The sequence below is a fragment of the Homo sapiens genome, chromosome 6, assembly GCF_000001405.40.
Source record: "Homo sapiens chromosome 6, GRCh38.p14 Primary Assembly".
NCBI classification, from domain to species: Eukaryota; Metazoa; Chordata; class Mammalia; order Primates; family Hominidae; genus Homo; species Homo sapiens.
The window spans coordinates 109,315,455-109,333,342 of NC_000006.12; the positions used below are offsets into that span (position 1 = coordinate 109,315,455).

Sequence of the window (17,888 nt, forward strand, 5' to 3'; positions counted from 1 at the left end):
GTCCTTTATGGCATTAGCATGTAAAACTACAGGCATACCCAAATGGTATTTTTTCCAAGAAGCTGAGTGTAAATTGCAGGGTTGTAAATCATTGAATGGGCTGGAGGGAGGGCAGGACTAAGTATTTAAAGCCATGTGGTGCTTCGATGAAGCAAATTACTACCCTTAATGTCCCTGTTCTATAAGTCTGGATTTTTATCATTTTGATTTTCCTCAAATTGATGTGTACCTTCATAAGAATGATCATAGAAAACATAACCACTATCTTAAGCATAAAATTTAGCATGCAAGTATTCACATGGAAATGAAATATTTGTAAAAGCTCCCTGTAATTGTTTTTCTGAGAATAAGAAAATGCCCATTTGGTATGTGTAAGATGATCTGTGTGGAGAAGTTGTTTTCCCGAGTCTTTGTTCAGCTTGATCCTGGGACTCACGCGCTCTGTGGCTGGGCTTATTGTACCAGGCAAGCAAAGCCTCGGCTGTTCGGTTGTCAATGCACAGATGCTCATCCACTGAGCAACAAGGAGAAGTCAGCCCCTGTCAGGCCCCAGTGCCAAGCTCACTGCTTACCCTTCTGAGCCCTATTCCTTTCCAGTACCTGGGGGCCTTCAACAGGGAGAAACCTACACTCTGCAAGCATAATGGATTGAGTGAGGGCTCACAGTTTTTGGAAGACTTTACTGTTGGTCCTACATGGAGTTTTAAATCTTGTGAAATCTTCCTTGGTATCTAAATCAAGTTTTATACCTGAGGGCTTCTTTTTTTTTTTTGAGTCTTGCTCTGTCGCCCAGGCTAGAGTGCAGTGGCGCGATCTCAGCTCACTGCAACCTCCGCCTCTCAGGTTCAAGCAATTCTCCTGCCTCAGTCTCCCGAGTAGCTGGGATTACAGGCGCCCGGCTAATTTTTTTATTTTTAGTAGAGATGGGGTTTCATCATCTTGGCTAGGCTGGTCTCGAACTCCTGACCTTGTGATCCACCTGCCTCGGCCTCCCAAAGTGTTGAGATTACAGGTGTGAGCCATTGTGCCCGGCTGAGAGCTTCTTTTGTAATGAGAACTCACAGAATCCTAGCCACATTTAGAGACCCCGGAAGACATGAGGTCACCCCAGGGATTAGACACTTTGCAATTTAGCAAAACTTGGTTAAAAAAAAAAAAAGGATTGTATTTTATCAATGAGGATGTGAGCCAGGAAGAAAAGGTGCTAGTCTCCAGGGAGGTACATCTGTGCCCCCAGAAGCACTTGGGAGACCTAGAAGGGAAGTGTTCCTTCTTTCCCGGGAGAGTAGCTGAGGGACAGGCCCTAGCCCAAAGCCCTTCTGCAGGAATGTGACACGGGACCCAAAATATAATCTGAATGTAGTGAGTGACCCTCAACCTATGCTTACTCTAGCTTCAAAAACTTCTGGAAAATTGTGAAATTCAAATGATCCAAGAGGTACTAAGAAAAGTTAACAGAGAAATGACACTGGTTTTATCAGAAAAGTGCAAGGAGGAGTGTTCTCTCCCTACAGGTAAAGTACATTTATTTTGTTACTTCACAAAATAATGTTTATTGGTTTTTCCTAATTACGAAAGCAATTCATGTATCGACATTTGTTGTAAAAACAAGCAAAAACCAAAACATCGGTGCGATGCCCGGAAAATGATATAAAAATGACCTTTTACCCTTGACCCTGTGCAATGAAAGGGCAAGCCTCTCCCCAGCTGGGTGTCTCTAAATGCCACCAGAGAGCTGAGTGTGGTTGAGCTCTAGTTACAGAACCTGCAACAAGACACAAAGCCCTTTGGTATATTTCTTTCCCTGTACAAAGGCTTTTTTAAACAAATGGAAAACATAGTTTCACTTCAGTTTCAACTCTACTGATTAACTCATAACTGAAATAAAGTTGAAATGAAGGGAAACCTAAAGCCTTTCTTATTTGTAACATATATAAGTTATGATATGTCAAATTTGTATATTTAGGGTATGAAGGCAATCAGAATGGTTCCTTCCATCTGAGGTCCAAACTTGGGGCCACTTCACGGGCATGTGACACACAGGATGCAGAGGGGCACTTGAGATTTCATGTTCTGTGATCACCATCCTGAAACTTTTAATGGTTTACCTTTGAATTTGTTCAAAGTTACAATTCTAGGTACCTAAAGTGGGCAGGAGGCTTACCCTTCCTGAGCTACCCATTGAACGCATGGTGTTGCTGCCAGCCTGGGACCCCTGAGATGCTGCCGGGTGCACACGTCTGACCTTGACCCTCCCTGTACCCAGAGGGGACGGGGACCTTGGCACAGGGAGGGTCAAGGTCAGGCGTGTGCACCTGGCAGCATCTCAGGGGTCTTAGGCTGGCAGCACCACCATGTGTTCAATGGGTAGCTCAGTGAGGGCAAGCCTCCTGCCCACCTTGGGTACCTAGAGTCTCTCAGGACAGAGGTTGCAGTACTCTTGGGGGTTGCCTTTCCACAGTGGATTGGGGTGGTGGGAAGGGGAGATGCCTGACTCAACTTCTCATCCCCAGGCAGGGCCCGGTGCCTCAGTCTGGTAGCTGGCGGGTCATGCGTATTCATGCACTGAGACACAGGCAGGGCCACTGGGTGCTTATGGGGGTCTCACTTCCCCTGCACATATTCCCATGACCAAGAGAGCGCAACGTTAAAAGCAAATTAAAAACACCATGACAGGTCAAGGGAGAGACTGCAGAAGAAAGGGAAAAGGTTTATCTCTTAATGTCGGTGTGACACTTTTTCCTGCTTTTTAAACAAGAGGTCCTACATTTTTATCTTGCGCCAGGCCCCTGCGTTATGTAGCTAGTCCTGTCTGAACTATAATATCTATTCCTAACTTTGAATATTCTGTAGGAAATTCATAACCTTTGAGCTAGGGAGGAGTTGTCTGACTACGAACTTAAATTAGGTTTTGCTTTTGAGACAAAGTCCACAGACATTGTAGTGTTAATTAATAACCTCTGTCCTCACCTAAGACATAGTCGTTTTATTAGTGCTTCGAGTAACCGAATTCTGTAAACAGGGCCCTGTGCAATGAAAGCGCGAGCCTCTCCCCAGCTGGGCGTCTCTAATGCCACCAGAGAGCTGAGTGTGGTTGAGCTCTAGTTACAGAACATTCAACAAGACACAAAGCGCCTGTTGTTTGTGCTGTGTTTGCTGCATCCAGGCGGCTCCCTTCCGAGTCCTTGGAGAAAATCCACAAGCCTGCATCAGGTGCAGCCATCTGCACATGTTGGGGCCGTGGTTCCTATGAGACACCTGGGGTGAGGGGCTGTGGGGAAGCATCTTTGCTCTGTGGTTGTGCTGCCTTGCATAGGGTGCCTGTCAGCTGTGCTTGCAAAGGGCCTTCAATGCAGTGGGGGGCAGGCAGAGGGGAGGGGTAGAGTTATTTTTAACAGTGGCTAGGTTGATATTACCAAGCCTCACTTTGGCTGGAGTGTGCTGGCCAGTTCTAAACTCTTGTTTGATTCTATACTTATAAGACTTTTAAACTCCATGCCAATGTCAAAGGGGAAGGGTTGTTGTTTCTGGTTCTATTTTGTTTTGTTCTTTGGTCTGTCAGGCATGACTCAGTGTGGAGACCTGGATCTCCACCTCTACTGAGTTCTCCTAATTCAAGCGATTGAGTCCTTACTGTGTGCCAAGGTGCTTTGGTATACATTTATTCAGTGTCATCTTCCTGAGACCTCTGTGGGCTTGGTACCTTCAAAGAAGGCAATAACATATTGGAATCCCCACCTACCTACTATTTATCTTGGCAGCAAGAAGTAGCCATAGTGGCCAGGGCTTCCAAGCAAGGGCTGCCTCTTCATGCAGAGATCACCCTTTGTAGTCAAGATTAGCTTGGGGCTGGAGGTTTTTCCAGAGGAAGTTAGGAATGGAGAGTATTGAGAACCAGGGGGACAGCAAAAGCCCTTATCCTTTTCCTCAGGGTCTTCTCCTTCCCTATGGGCTGACTGACTCTGGTGTTTACATTTACAACTGCCAAAAAGAAACCCTGAGCCAGGTATGGTGGCTCACTCCTGGAGCCCAAAGGCACTCTGGGAGGCCGAGGCAGGCGGATCACTTGAGCTCAGGAATTTGAGACCAGCCTGAGCAACATGGTAAAACCCCAACTCTACAAAAAATGGAAAAAAAATTAGCTGGGTGTGGCGGTGCACACCTGTAGTCCCAGCTACTCAGGATGCTGAGGTGGGAGGATCGCTTACGCCTAGGATGTCGAGGCTGCAGTGAGCCAAGATCGTGCCACTGCACTCCAGCCTGAGTGACAGAGTGAGACTCTGTATCAAAAAAAAAAAAAAAAAAAAGGAACCCTGGAATACTTCTCTCCCTCTCCCTCCTTCATTCCCCCTCACCTTGTCTTGGAGCTTGATCATACAGCTTCTGAATGAGTTTCCGGTTTGTCATTGAGCCTCTGAGGATGTGGCATCCAGACCTGGCCCTTGTATTAGGTCTCGGTAGCTGAACTAGTAGTCCCCTGAAAACTATCTAAAGTTGATCCAGACATCTTTGTTCAGCCCCGGGGCTTATCTTAGCAGAAATGGCCCCGTTGGTTCACAAAGATTCTGCCATCCCTCATCTTTGATGTTTTGGCATTGAAGTGATTTTTAATTGATTTTCTAATTTTCTCTGGGTAGTTATAAGGCCAACAGTCTCCAAAGTGGAATGCATATATCCCAGGGGTGTGGGAAGAAAATATGAGAACTTCTAAATAGATTAGAGCCATATGTAAGGAGTCACATGCCACACTCTACACTGAGGTGTCCTGAAGTGACCATGGGCAGGCAATCCACAAGTAATGAGAAAATAGTCGAGGTGACACTGTAATCCTAGTGCATGCTTATCCTCAGCCACATTCTGAGGTCATAAAAGATAATCTAATCATGTCTGATAAGAAGACAGACAATAAATTTTTCTTTTTTTCTTTTTTTTTTTAAAGATACGATCTCATGCTGCCACCCAGGCTGGAGTTCAGTGGTGCCACCATAGCTCACTGCAGCCTTGAACTCCTGGGCTAAAACGATCCTCCTACCTCAGCCTTCCAAGTAGCTAGAATCACCGGTGCACACCACCATGCCCAACTAATTTTTAAAAATTTTTTGTAGAGCCATCCTCTTGCTATGTTGCCCAGGCTGGTCTTGAACTCTTCAAGTGATCTTCCCACCTCTGCCTCCCAAAGTGCTGAGATTATAGGTGTAAGCCACCTGCCTGGCAGACAAAAAAAAATTGTAAAAGGTCAAGGAAACTATTGGGAATGCGGATTGAGATCCATTCTCATTGTTGATGAATCCTCCCCTAAGTATATCATGCTTTGTGATATTCGCTATTGGTAGTGTTGTAGGTAGTTATAAATACATATAAATAAAATAAAATATAAAAATATAATAATATAGGATAATAAATATAATCAAAATATAAGTGTACATATATTAAAAGTGAGAGATCAACAATGTTTTGCTTCAAGAGAGCATATCAAAACAGTTCTTACAAGAGCATCGTGTCAGCCAGCATTTCCCCAGCAGTGCGATGGAACACAAGTTCCTCAAGATATTACAGCAGTAGTTCTCCCAGCCCTTCTTCGCTAACAGGCTTCTGGGTTACCTGACGCTTTCCGTTCTTCTGGTAACATAAGGCAGCAAAGTGCTCACTAATCACAGGCTTTGGGTTGCATGTATTTTACCTAGCATCTCTGATCATTGTTTGCTCCAAACCTGTTTGTGCCGGTTTTAACTGTCATTGTATTGAGATAATTTAATTAAAAACTATGTAAACCAGCGTAATAGGAATACAAAAAGAAAGAGATCTGTTGATTCTAGAAAAACTAAATTGAAATTGATCATCTGTAGCACATCTAGTCAGTGAAACATTATTAAGCATTAAAAAGAAATGAGCTGTCAAGCCATGAAAAGACATGGAAGAAGCTTAAATGCATATTACTAAGTGAAAGAAGCCAATGTGAAAAGGCAACATATTGTATGATTCCAAATATGACATTCTGGAAAAGGCGAAACTATGGAGAGAGTAAAAAGATCAGTGCCTGCCACCATTTAGGAGGGTAGGAAGGAGGAATAGGCAGAGCACAGAGGATTTTGGGGCAGTGAAACTATTCTGTATGATACTAACATGGTGTATCCATGTCATCATATGTTATCCAAGCCCATAGGATGTAGGACACTAACAGTAAACCATAATGCAAACTATAGGCTTTGGATGATAATGACATGTCAATGTAGGTTCATTGATGGTAACAAATGCACCCTCTGTGGCAGGACATTGATGGTGGAGAATGTGTGTGAGGACCTTATGGGCACTCTCAATACATTCCCCTCCATTCTGCTATGAACCTAAAATTGCTCTAAAAAAATTAAATGTATTTGAAAAAGAAAATAAAGTAAAACACCCGGGCGTGGTGGCTCACGCCTGTAATCCCAGCACTTCGTCTTGGCCAACATGGTGAAACCCTGTCTCTACTCAAAATACAAAAATTAGCCAGGCGTGCTGGAGGGCAGCTGTAATCCCAGCTACTCAAGAGGCTGAGGCAGTGAGCTGAGACTGCGCCATTGTGCTCCAGCCTGGGCAACAAGAGCGAAACTCTGTCTCAAAAAAAAAAAAAAAAAAGAAAAGGAAAAAGAAAACAAAATAAAAATTACGTTGAAAGGATTTGGAAAACCTGAATAAAAGGCTAGTTGTGTAGAAAAAAGAAAAATTATCAAATTGGTTATGAGACAGATGACTGAAAAGACTAGGTAAAATTGTGAAATTGTGCAAAATGATGTGTTTGGATTTTCATGGTCTTTTTCTTTCTCTAAAATCAAACAAACAAAAGTAGAAACTATAGACCAAGATTTATAGAAGAAAGATGGGGCAGAACTTCGGTCAGTGGGTACTTACAAAGAAAAGGCCTAGGCCCTATGTTAGATGACTGGCAGATGTTTGTAAATTTATGTATTTTAAGTTAAATAAAATGTTTTAGATAGTACATGTTATTTGTAAAGCATTCTCTGCTTTAACTGACTTTTTTTTTTTTTTTAACTAACCAACTAACTCTTAGTCTTGAGTACATTGGATAGGAGGATTTCTACCATGTTTTTCAGGGTCGGTGGAGAAGGGTTTTGTTCATTTGTGTTTTGTTCAAAATAAGTTTGGGAAACTCAGGGTAAATAATGCTAAACAGTTTCCTCTACTCTAGAGCCTTTACTATCCAACTGTGCACTGTGAATCTCCAAAGGAGAGAGAATATGCAATGTTTTTTTATTTTTTATTTTATTTACTTCTTTATTTATTTGACCATAGAACCTTTTCCTCTCCTTGGAAACATTTATTATCAACACGAAGAATTAGTGTTCTGGGGAGCAGTTTGAAAACCACAAGAGTACAAGATGCATACATACTCTGCAATAAGGCTTTCAACCTACCCACTTATTGGGGCGCCCCAGCTGGTTGGGAGAACAGCCTTGATTGGCAGTCATATGTCTTCAAGTTTCAGTTCTGCCTTGGTTTGGGACCCAGGAACCACTGAGGCACCAAAGGCTAGTGGTTGTGTTAGGGAAGTGGAATGTTACCCAGCCAAGATGTCCTTCCTAGAGGAAGGAGGCCTGGGGGTGGTGTGCAGAGAAGGAGAGAGGGGAAGTGGTTTGGCTAACAGGAAGTCAAAGTTTCCTCTAGTCAAATGACCTGGAACAGAGTGAGAGGAGAAAATGGAGTCCCAACTTAACCCCCAGTGTGCTGTCTCCTTCCTACTTCCATGCTTCTGTCAAAAACGGCTGCCTCCTCTTAAAGAAGCCATGACCAAACACACACTGAAAATGAGACCCATTTGGAGACAGCCAACTCCTCTTTGCCAGGAATTGTTTCTTTTGGATGGATTCTGCTTTTCCTGGCTCCCTGACTCCTGCCTGCAGATGCAAATGCATGTCTGAACCTGAATTCACGAGCAAGGAGAGAGTGCGGCCGAGCGCTCTGTTAAGTTTTCCCTTCAGCTGAGTGCAGAGCTAAACCCCAAACCAGCTCACTGGACATCTGCCAGGTGAGGGTCCCCATACTAGAAGTGTGCAACAGATGTGGTCCCTCACCAGGCTTATCTGTGAGCTGGAGACCTGCCACAACAGCACCCTGGAAAAGATATCCAACTTCTCATCTGAAATACGCATGAGCCCTGTCTTGTCATAGCTTAGACTTTTAAAAAGTCTTAAACATCTTAAGAAGTGTGAATTGCTGGGCACATTAACTCTTGGATTTTCCATTTCAGCTGTACTGGGACAGTGGCAATGTGTCTTCTGGCCTTTATTTCCTAAAGGAAAAGCAAAAACAGATTTATATGTTTATTATGGAAAGTAGTCAATTGTTAAAGAAACATAGAATCCCATTTTCAAAACCAGGACTTGGCAGTAAATAGCGTAAGTACAAATACCAGAGGCTCTGGCTCTGTTGTGCCCACATTTCTGGGTGGACTGTGCTAGGTGTTTCGTCTTGGGAGCACTGAGCCTCCTGTCAGTAAATTGAGTGTGCAGGTAGGAAGTCTCATCTGAAATTAGAAACAGCTGGGGCAGGAGCAGGCTGGCAGGTGTCCCTGCTGATGACCAGCACCCCCCATTAACAGAAAACGGAGTGAGGTGGAGCGTGGCTCCTAAGTCCAACTCCATAGATCGCTTCCCTTCAGTATTCCCCTGGGACCACCACGAGGAGGTAGGCACTATCCAGCCAGTTCTTACCATTGTAATTAACGTGCACATGTGCTTTTGCTCTTCCACGTGGATGGAAGTCAAGCAGTGTTGACATTCTCACATCGTTCCACCACTGTCATGTTATTTTTAAGTATCTTATTTTTAACAGATAATATATGCACATGGTTCCAAACTCAAAATGATGAAAAATATACATTTAGAGTCTTGTTGTCACCATGAACCCCCTTGCATCCTAGTCTGCCACCTGTACGTAACCACTTTCATTAGTTTTCTGCATGTTCTTTCAGTGCTGCTTTGTGCATATATTCATTCTTTCATTCAATAACTATTCAATAAATATTTACATTCTTTCATTACAGGAACTATTCCATGTCCTAGGCTACTATATTTTAGGAAATATTTTAGGAATATATTCTTCCTTTCATTGAGTTTATAATCTAGGAAGGGGTAGACAACAAGCGATAACATAAGAAAAAGGAAAGCAATGGAGTAAGGAAGGGTGGTGTTGCGGCGGTTTGAAGGGGTCCACTGCAATTTTAAATTGGGTGATTAGGGTAGACCTCACTGAGTGAGTGATGTTTTGAGCAAAAGTTTGAAATAAGGTGAGGAATTGAGCTATGAGGGTATCTAAGGGAAGAGCATTCCAGACAGAAGGAACAAGCCATACAAAGGCCCTATGCAGAGCACGCCTATTATATTCAAAGAATAGCAAGGACCTAAGTGTGGCTGGAGTGGAGACCGTGAGGGAGAAAAAGTAGTAAGCGTTGAAGTCAGAGAGGGAGGGGGAAGGGGGGCAGACCATGCAAGGCCTTTTGAGGCTTTTGTGTTTACTCTAAATGCAGTGGGGACCAAGTCTCAGATTTTGAGTGTCATGATCTGGCTTATATTTTGACAGAATCTCTCTGGCTAAGGTGTGGAGAATAGGCTGTGAAGGAAGAAAGGGTGAAAGTAGAAAGAAGCTGGTGTGGAGGTTACTGCAATAACTGAAGAAAGGAGTGATGGTGGCTCAAACTTGGGAGCAGTGGAAATAGTGAATGGTCAAACTCTGGGCTTATTGTGAAGTAGGCACTAATGGGTTCAGTATTATTAGGTATGTGAGAAAGAAAAACCAATTATGACTCCAGCGTTCTCAATTGGGAAGATAGAATTTCTATCAGCTGAGAGGAAAACTGTGAAGCAAGTTAGGGAGGGAAGATTGGGAATTTGATTATGCACAAATTAAGTTTTAAATGCCTTTTAGACATCCAAGAAGACATGCCAAGTGAGTATTGGATCTAAATTTGCGAGTTGTCAGGATATGAATGGTATTTAGCTGTGAGACGAGATGAGAACGCCAAGGGAGTGAATATATATAGAAGTGAGGAGGTGGACCACGGCTGAGCCCTGAGACACTCTAATGTTAACAGCTGGGGGTGGTGGGGGAGGAGAAATAGCAAAAGACATCTAGAAGGAATAGAAAGAACAAACGTTGAGTTAGGAAAACTAGGGCACCGCAGTGTCCCAATGCCTAGTGAAGGAGATTTCTCAAGCAGGAGGAAGCGACAAATTGTGTGAAATGCTGCTGGTAGTTGAGTAAAACCACTGGCTTTAGCCACGTGCAGATCACTGGTGTTTGTGACAAAATCAGTTTCAGTGAAGTGGTGGAGGTGAAAACCAGGTAAGTGGGGTTAAGAGAGAATTTGTAAGACGTCAAAGGCAGTTTAAGTATAGACTTCTCTATCTGGGAGTTTTGCTACAACAGGGTACAAAGAAATGAGGCAATAGCTGATGGGTGAAGTGGGGTCAAGAGAAAGGTTTTTATGAGACGAGAGAAATAATGTATACTATTGTGAGTGATCCAGGAAAGAGGGGAGAAATGATGATAGAGAAGAAAGGGGAGTTTCTGGGGTAGTAATCCTAGTAGGCTTGAGGGGATATCCTCCCCCTTTATTATCATTTTAGTTATCTTTCTTATAAAATGTGGCATTTTATGGCCACTGTTCTGCACCTTGCCTTTTTCATTTAACAATCTGTGCTTCTTTTCATAACAGTATATGGAGAATTTTTCTTTTTTTCACAGCTGCGTACTATTTCATTGGAAGGATATGCCATAGTTTAAGTACGCCCTGAAGGGTGGACACTTGTGTGCTTCCAAGCTTTTGCTGCCATAACCAATGTTCCTCTGAATAACTCTGGTTATTTTCTTTAAATTTTTATATTTTTTCAAATTTATTTACCTTTTTTATTGCAGAGACAAGTGAACATTTATTTTTGTGCCTTTCTTCCTATGTGTATTTCAAGTCTTTTTCAAAGCAAGGCCCCAGGAATCTCTAGATTCAATTATGTCCCTGGGCTTGGTCGACTGCTGCAGGAGTCTTAGGGAGCCTTGTACAGATGCTAGAGTTACTCATTTACCAACATTAAACCCTGGGATAGACGATGCAGCAAAGCGGACGCCTTCCTCCATGGAATGTGCTGATTTCAGACGGGGCATCAGCCAATGTAGAAAACACTAACATTTTTTCTTGGAACTGGATTGTGATGAGAGGTGCTTGCCGTGAACATAAGCTACTATCTTTTGTTTTTTGGGTTGTTTTTTGTTTTGTTTTGTTTTGTTTTTGAGACGGAGTTTTGCTCTTGTTGCCCAGGCTGGAGGGCAATGGTGCGATCTTGACTCACCACAACCTCCGCCTCCCGGGTTCAAGCGATTTTCCTGCCTCAGCCTCCCGAGTAGCTGGGATTACAGGTGTGCACCATCACGCCCGGCTAATTTTTGTATTTTTAGTAGAGACAGGGTTTTTCCATGTTGTTCAGGCTGATCTTGAACTCTTGACCTCAGGTGATCTGCCTGCCTCAGTCTCCCAAAGTGTTGGAATTACAGGCGTGAGCCACCGCGCCTGGCCAGCTGCTGTCTTTTCTTTGGCGCTTCCTTTCCAGTTTTTGAAGATAAGGCAGGAAATAATCTTCTCTGAACATACTTGATAAAAATTCCCCAAAAAACAAAAACACATGCTTCCACTTCATTGACAAAAATTTACTGCAGTTTGGCACCTGGGTCTAGTTCAGCTGGCGGATAAGCTGATTGATGCGTTCACCCCGATAGCCAGGTGTGCCCATCTCCTTGAGGAAGCCCACTCTATTTTTGGTAGCATGACAGGCCACTGAGAGGTGGAAAGGGTGCAAGAACCATGGCATCTCCTGGAAATGCTTCCCTGGGGAGGCAATTTCATGAATGAGGTCTTCCAAGCAAATGATGCCAAACTTCCCCAGGTGCTCCTCAATCACTGTGTTGTCTGTCAGAGGGATGGTCTTATTCTTGACCTCGGATTCTCCATGTTTCAAAATGAGTTGCCAGACAGACTTCGGATTTGGAAATCCAAAGGTAACATAAGGTTCCACTATACGCAGCATTTTTAGGTTCTGGGGGGTTACTTTTACAAGACACCACTAAAAATTTTCTTTAGGTGAAGTGTTGCAATGGTTCTCTGCACCAGTAAACTCACACCATTAATCCTTTCAATGCGTTCAACAAAGGCCAAAGGATGTTTATCTGGCAATTCCAAAGTGTGAAGTTTCACTTCTAGTCATCTGAGATGCACCTTGTCACGTTTCTGCCGCCAGGAACCATGTAGGAATGATTCCAGTCATTTAAACCTGAGCCCTTTTCCTTTCCTCTGCTCCTTCTTTGCCAAAAGTGCCTGCTTTGCCTGGATGGCTTTGAGAGCTTGATAAGCCTTCCTCTTTTTCAGGAGATTTTCTGGAACCAAAGGGATTTTTCTTCGCTCTTGCTCTGCCATCTTTCTAGTGTTGCAGCTACTGATCACGTGCAACCCCTTTAATTTTTTTTTTTAGAGCAAGGATCTCAACCTGTTTCCCAGGCTGGAGTGCAGCGATGTAATCATGGTTCACTGTAGCCTTGACCTCCTGGGCTCAAGGGATTCTCCCACCTCAGCCTCCCAAGTAGCTAGGACTACAGGCATGCACCATCATGCCTGTCTATTTTAAATGTTTTGTGGAGATGGGGTCTCACTATGTTGCCCAGACTGGTCTGAACTCCTGGCCTCAAGTGAACTTTGTATATGCCTCATCCCATCTGTGTCAGCCATATTGCTGCTTCAATCTTGGAGCTAAAGTTCAGTCTGTCAACATTTCTAATCTGTAACTCTAACTTCTCTCTTTTGAATTTCCTCTCCTTTTTTATCACTATTATATATTCAAGTTAATTTTGCCCTCTAGCACTAGGAACTTAAGCAGATAAATATAATAGCTGTTCATTTATTTCTGATCATTGTTTTAGACCAAAATAATTGGCAGATACATAGAAGGCCTTAATAAAAATAAAGATGATGTAGGATTGATACTAATATTTGATTTGGGGTTTTTAGTTATGGTAATGGAATATTCCCTGGATTTCATAGGTGCTCTTCCAAATCTTTGCATTAGGAGTCAGGTTAGAGATCTTCCTAGTTCCCATGTTCCAGAGGGTCTTGGATCCCCAGTTGCCCAGCCCCCATTAGTTTTTGCATACAGTTGACCTTTGAACAACATGGTTTGAACTGTGCACGTCCACTGATACACAGATTTTTTTTCAACCAGATGAGGATAGAAAATACAGCATTCGGGATGTGAAAACCACGTGTGCAGAGGGCAGATATTTGTATCCACGAGCTCCCCAGGGCTGACTGCAGGATTTGAATATGCATGGATTCAGGATCTGAGGGTGTTCCTGGGAACAATCCCCAGTCCCCTGCATGTATCAAGGGGCAGCTGAGTTTAGAAACAGCTTATTGTGTCCCATGTTCTGTCTCAGAGAGTTGCCATTTTATAGCCATTAATGACAGCACAATGTTTTGTGGTACTAGTGCCAGTATGTTTTTCCCCCTAGATCTCTGGAAACACCAAGTCATGAAAGAAAACTTTTCAGTCTCAAGACCACAAATAGTTGAAAAATTTATACAGAGATTAATGTAGAATTATCAGGATGATGGAGTAGAGGTATGTATTGAAAATTAGTCATTCTGTTGGTTTTTATAACATCATCCCAAACAAGGAAAACTTTCTCATTTAATGGATCTCCTAATGCTTCCCTTATTCCCTAAGAATGATTATATGAATACTGAGGCTAAGCCCAAAGTAGAGCAATTGTTAGTTATTTTTTTCCTTTTTTTTTTTTTTTGAAATGGAGTCTCCCAGACTTGAGTGTAGTGGCACGATCTCGGCTTCACTGCAACCTCCGCCTCCCGGGTTCAAGCGATTCTCCTGCCTCAGCCCCCTGAGTAGCTAGGACCACAGGCATGTGCCACCACACCCAGCTGATTTTTGTGTATTTTTAGTAGAGACGGGGTTTCACCAAGTTGGCCAGACTGGTCTCGAACTCCTGACCCCCAGGTGATCCACCTGCCTTGGCCTACTAAAGTGCTGGGATTACAGGTATGAGCCACCACCATGCTCAGCTGTAATCATTAGTTTTTAATTTTGGAAAAAAATTGATTTCCACTAAAGATCTGAGTAATTAGAATACATACGTTGGCAAATTTCAAATTTGGTCAATTTTTTTAAAGTAACCTTGGAGTTTGTTTATGAATGAGTTGGTTTTTAGCAACATATTCTGTTGTTGATTTGTTAGTATGGAAAGCCTGAATGAGGAAAACCAAAATAGCCTATAATGCTGTTACCTAGAAAACATTAAAATGTAGCATATGAAAAAAAGCCAATAGCACAGAAAGCTAGCATTTTCACCTGTCCCCATGCCACCATCTCCAGCTTCCTCTGCAAAGGAAGCCAGCTTCAGCAATCTGTGTGTGTCCTTCCAGAAAAAATATTCAAATCCGTGACAACTCTATATATTATATTAAATAATAATATACATTTAATACATACACACATGCATATACACAGTCCTTGGAGTTTTGAAACATGTTTATTCTTGGCAGGAAGTGCCTTGCTAAATCAAAGCAACCCACTGAAAAGGCAGGATAAGAGAGTAGACGTAGATATTTGACCATAACAGAGTTTTGTGGAGTGTTAACAAGTGCTTTTAGGTAACTGTGAATCCAGTTTCCTTTGAAACTCAACCATTTAAAGAAATTTGACTTGGCAAAACATACTTCATTTTTTTAAATGTCTTCTCCAAATTTACATTTTTCCAAGTTCTTCAAATGTTCTCCATTATTTTATAATACACATCTCAGTTCTTATGAGGTAGAGAATTCACAAGCTTGGTTGGGGATACATTTTTCCTCAGAACTTGATGACTTACATGTATTAGTTTAAGCTTTCAATCATAAACAAACATGGTACTGGGTACTCTGAGTGGGTGAAGTAGTTTCCCATCCTTGAGATAAGGAAGTGGTTAGGGTGGGGCATATCAGAAAAATGGATGGAAAAATTTTGTGGCTCACCTTATAAAGGAAGGAAATTCTGGCCTGACGTGGTGGCTCATGCCTGTAATCCCAGTACTTTGGGAGGCTGAGATTGGCAGATCACTTGAGGCCAGGAGTTCGAGACTAGCCTAGCCAACATGGTGAAACCCAATCTCTACTAAAAATGCAAAAATTAGCCGGGTGTGGTGGCGCGCGCCTGTAGTCCCAGCTATTTGGGAGGCTGAGGCGGGAAAATCGCTTCAACCTGGGAGGTGGAAGTTGCAGTGAGCCGAGATTGTGCCATGGCACTCCAGCCTGGGCGACAGGGTGAGACTCCATCTCAAAAAAAAAAAAAAAAAGGAAATTCTGATACATGCTACAATGTGGATGAACCTTGCAGACATTATTGCTAAGTGAAATACGCCAGTCACAAAAGCACAAAAACGCTATGACTCCACTTATATGAGGTACCTAGAGTAGCCAAATTCAGAGAGACAGAAAGGATGGTGGTTGCCAGGGGCTGAGAGGAAAGAATAGGTAATTACTGTTTATCGGGTACAGGATTTTTGTTTTACAAAATGAAGAGTTCTGGCAGTGGATGGTGGTGATAGTTGCCCAGCAATGTGAATATACTTAATGCCATTGAACTGTACCTTTGAAAATGGTATAGTGACAAATTTTATGTTTAACACAATAAAAACAACAGTTTAGTGACTGAAGTCCTTCTCATTTCTTATCTGTATGCTTCACCCCAACATTGAGGTCTTGTGGGAAAGAAGCATGAATGTCAGTAGGCAGAGCAAACCCATATCAGGTACACCCCACACTCTGGGCACACTTGAAGAGGCTGGTGTCAGCCTGCCAGTGTCTTGAAGTCAGGGTCCTCAGGATGCCCCAGCCTCTCCAAAGTCTGTGCCTGGTAGGCTTCTAGCCTTTTCTGGATCATCTGCAGTAACAGGGAACTTACTCTTCCAGCCACCCCCTGTCTCCATCATGGATATGGTGCAATCTTGGCTCACTGCAACCTCTACCTCCTGTGTTCAAGTGATGCTCCTGCTTCAGCCTCCCAAGTAGCTAGGATTACAGGCACATGCCACCACACCTGGCTAATTTTTGTATTTTTAGTAGAGGCAGCGTTTCACCATGTTGCCCAGGCTGGTCTTGAGCTCCTGACCTCCAGTGATCTGCCTGCCTCGGCTTCCCAGAGTGCTGGGATTACAGGTGTGAGCCACTGCCCCCAGCCCACTGATGTGTTTTGTCAGCAGAGGTGGGTGTTTTAGAAACATCCTCAAGATACCTCGTGTGTGCCTGATATTAAACAAATTGTTACAAGGGATTCCAAGATGAAGCAAACCACAGAAACTCAATTGCTGCTGGCAGGCCTCAGGGCTAGACTTTGGCCATAACAAGGCCCAGTGCTTGCCATGCTTCACCCCAGGCTGGTTCTCTTGAAGAATCCCTGGGGTAATCTGCTGCTCTTCCACCCAGTGCCATCCATCATGGTTCAGGTTTGAATGATGGTGACAGAACAGCCCAGTGGAAGGCGGTGCTGCTTATTGGGCAGAACTGGGCCAATAATCTTAGTCTGCAGCTCTTATGCCAGCCAGGGTCTTGGAGAAGAAACTGGCCAATGGTACCCACTCACGCTGCATTTTGACACAAGCACAGGTGACATTTACAGTGACCCAGGGAGGCAGGGGTAGGTTGCAGAGCAAGTTTTAGGAAATAAATTGCTCCGAGAGCCCAGAGAAGGCTGAGCCCACGGAAGCCACACCGGCTGCTTCATGTGCTGCTTCCAGGAGGCCAAGTGCACAGGGTGCAAGACCAAAGCTTACCTGGAGAGAGGGGCTGCTGGGAGCCTGAGAGCCTCCCTGCACCCCTCCCTCACTGGCCACTCACTGCTTCCTGTCTGCCCCTCCTCAGACATGCTCCCTGTCCCATGTCCCCTGCAGGTACTCTGCCTGCACCCTTCTCCCTCTCCCTGCTTCCAGCCTCTCTCCCCTTGAGCTGTGCTTTCAGCTCAACCTCTTGAGGCCTCAGTAGAGCTCTGAGAGAAGGAAGCAATAGAACTTCTATGGCCTCTGGAGATGCTCAAGGAGAGTCCTACCTTTCCCACCTCTTTGGTGTTATACAGACTCACCACAGACTCCTCCTGCTGGCCAGGTAAAACATCATGTTGGCTCAGAGGGCATGGCAGAGGGCCACTGTGGTCCAGTTGTGCGTTTCTGTGGGTTTGGGATCCTATATCTGCAGAGGCTATGGTGGCATTACTATGAGAAGTGTTTGCCCTGCATAAGAGCTGTTGGATGCCCTGTTGGCACACCCATGTCTGGGCACTCATACCCAGGATAGTAAAGACTGAGTTGCTGTGGCTGGCTCAGAGCACTAGGCCCAGAAGAGGTCACTGGCCACACCTTGCTGAACTCCAGTAGGGTCTTGTGACTTCTCATGGCTGCAGGCTTTCATTACAGTCAAACCAGGAAGTGCTTCCTTTGTCATGACCAAACCCGTGTAGCCTTGCCCTTTCACCAGGAGGTCAAGGTCCAGGGGTAGAATCTTGAGTTCTCTTTGCCTTGTGTCAGCAACTAAACCATGGCTGTCCTGGTGCTTGCTCTCCAGAGACTGGGTGGGGCAAGAAGGGTAACGGGCAGGTCATCCTGCCCTCACCCCACCCACTAATGCAGCCCCTTGAGGAGGGCCCTAGAGTGTGAGTGGGAGACACTGAGTTCCTGCCCCTCACTGCCCCATCCACTGCTCATTAAATGCAGCGTGAGCAGAGGTTTCCATCTGCTGCTTTATTGCCCGTATCTTGATCATATCCTGCCAAGCTGATATAGTTGATGACTTTTTAAAAAGCTCAACT

At 44.0% G+C, this 17,888-nt stretch overlaps 2 pseudogenes across 1 annotated transcript in view, besides 1 other annotated feature; one reads left to right on the forward strand and one right to left on the reverse strand.

Moving 5' to 3' along the window:
• The window catches only part of CCDC162P (coiled-coil domain containing 162, pseudogene), a 189,118-nt pseudogene that overhangs the window by 149,624 nt on the left and 21,606 nt on the right, over nt 1-17,888 (forward strand). The window contains exons 35-36 of the transcript NR_152435.1: nt 1,394-1,514; nt 13,549-13,658. The product of NR_152435.1 is annotated as a coiled-coil domain containing 162, pseudogene (transcript). The remainder of the gene's footprint in view (nt 1-1,393; nt 1,515-13,548; nt 13,659-17,888) is intronic.
• On the reverse strand, nt 11,721-12,439 carry RPL7P28 (ribosomal protein L7 pseudogene 28; annotated as a pseudogene).
• Nucleotides 13,131-13,658: an enhancer, noted in NCBI's record as "OCT4 hESC enhancer chr6:109649788-109650315 (GRCh37/hg19 assembly coordinates)". NCBI's record gives its function as "activates a minimal SCP1, AML or CMV promoter by ChIP-STARR-seq in primed H9 embryonic stem cells {active_cell/tissue: H9 hESC(primed)}" and the evidence as "EXISTENCE:reporter gene assay evidence [ECO:0000049][PMID:30033119]".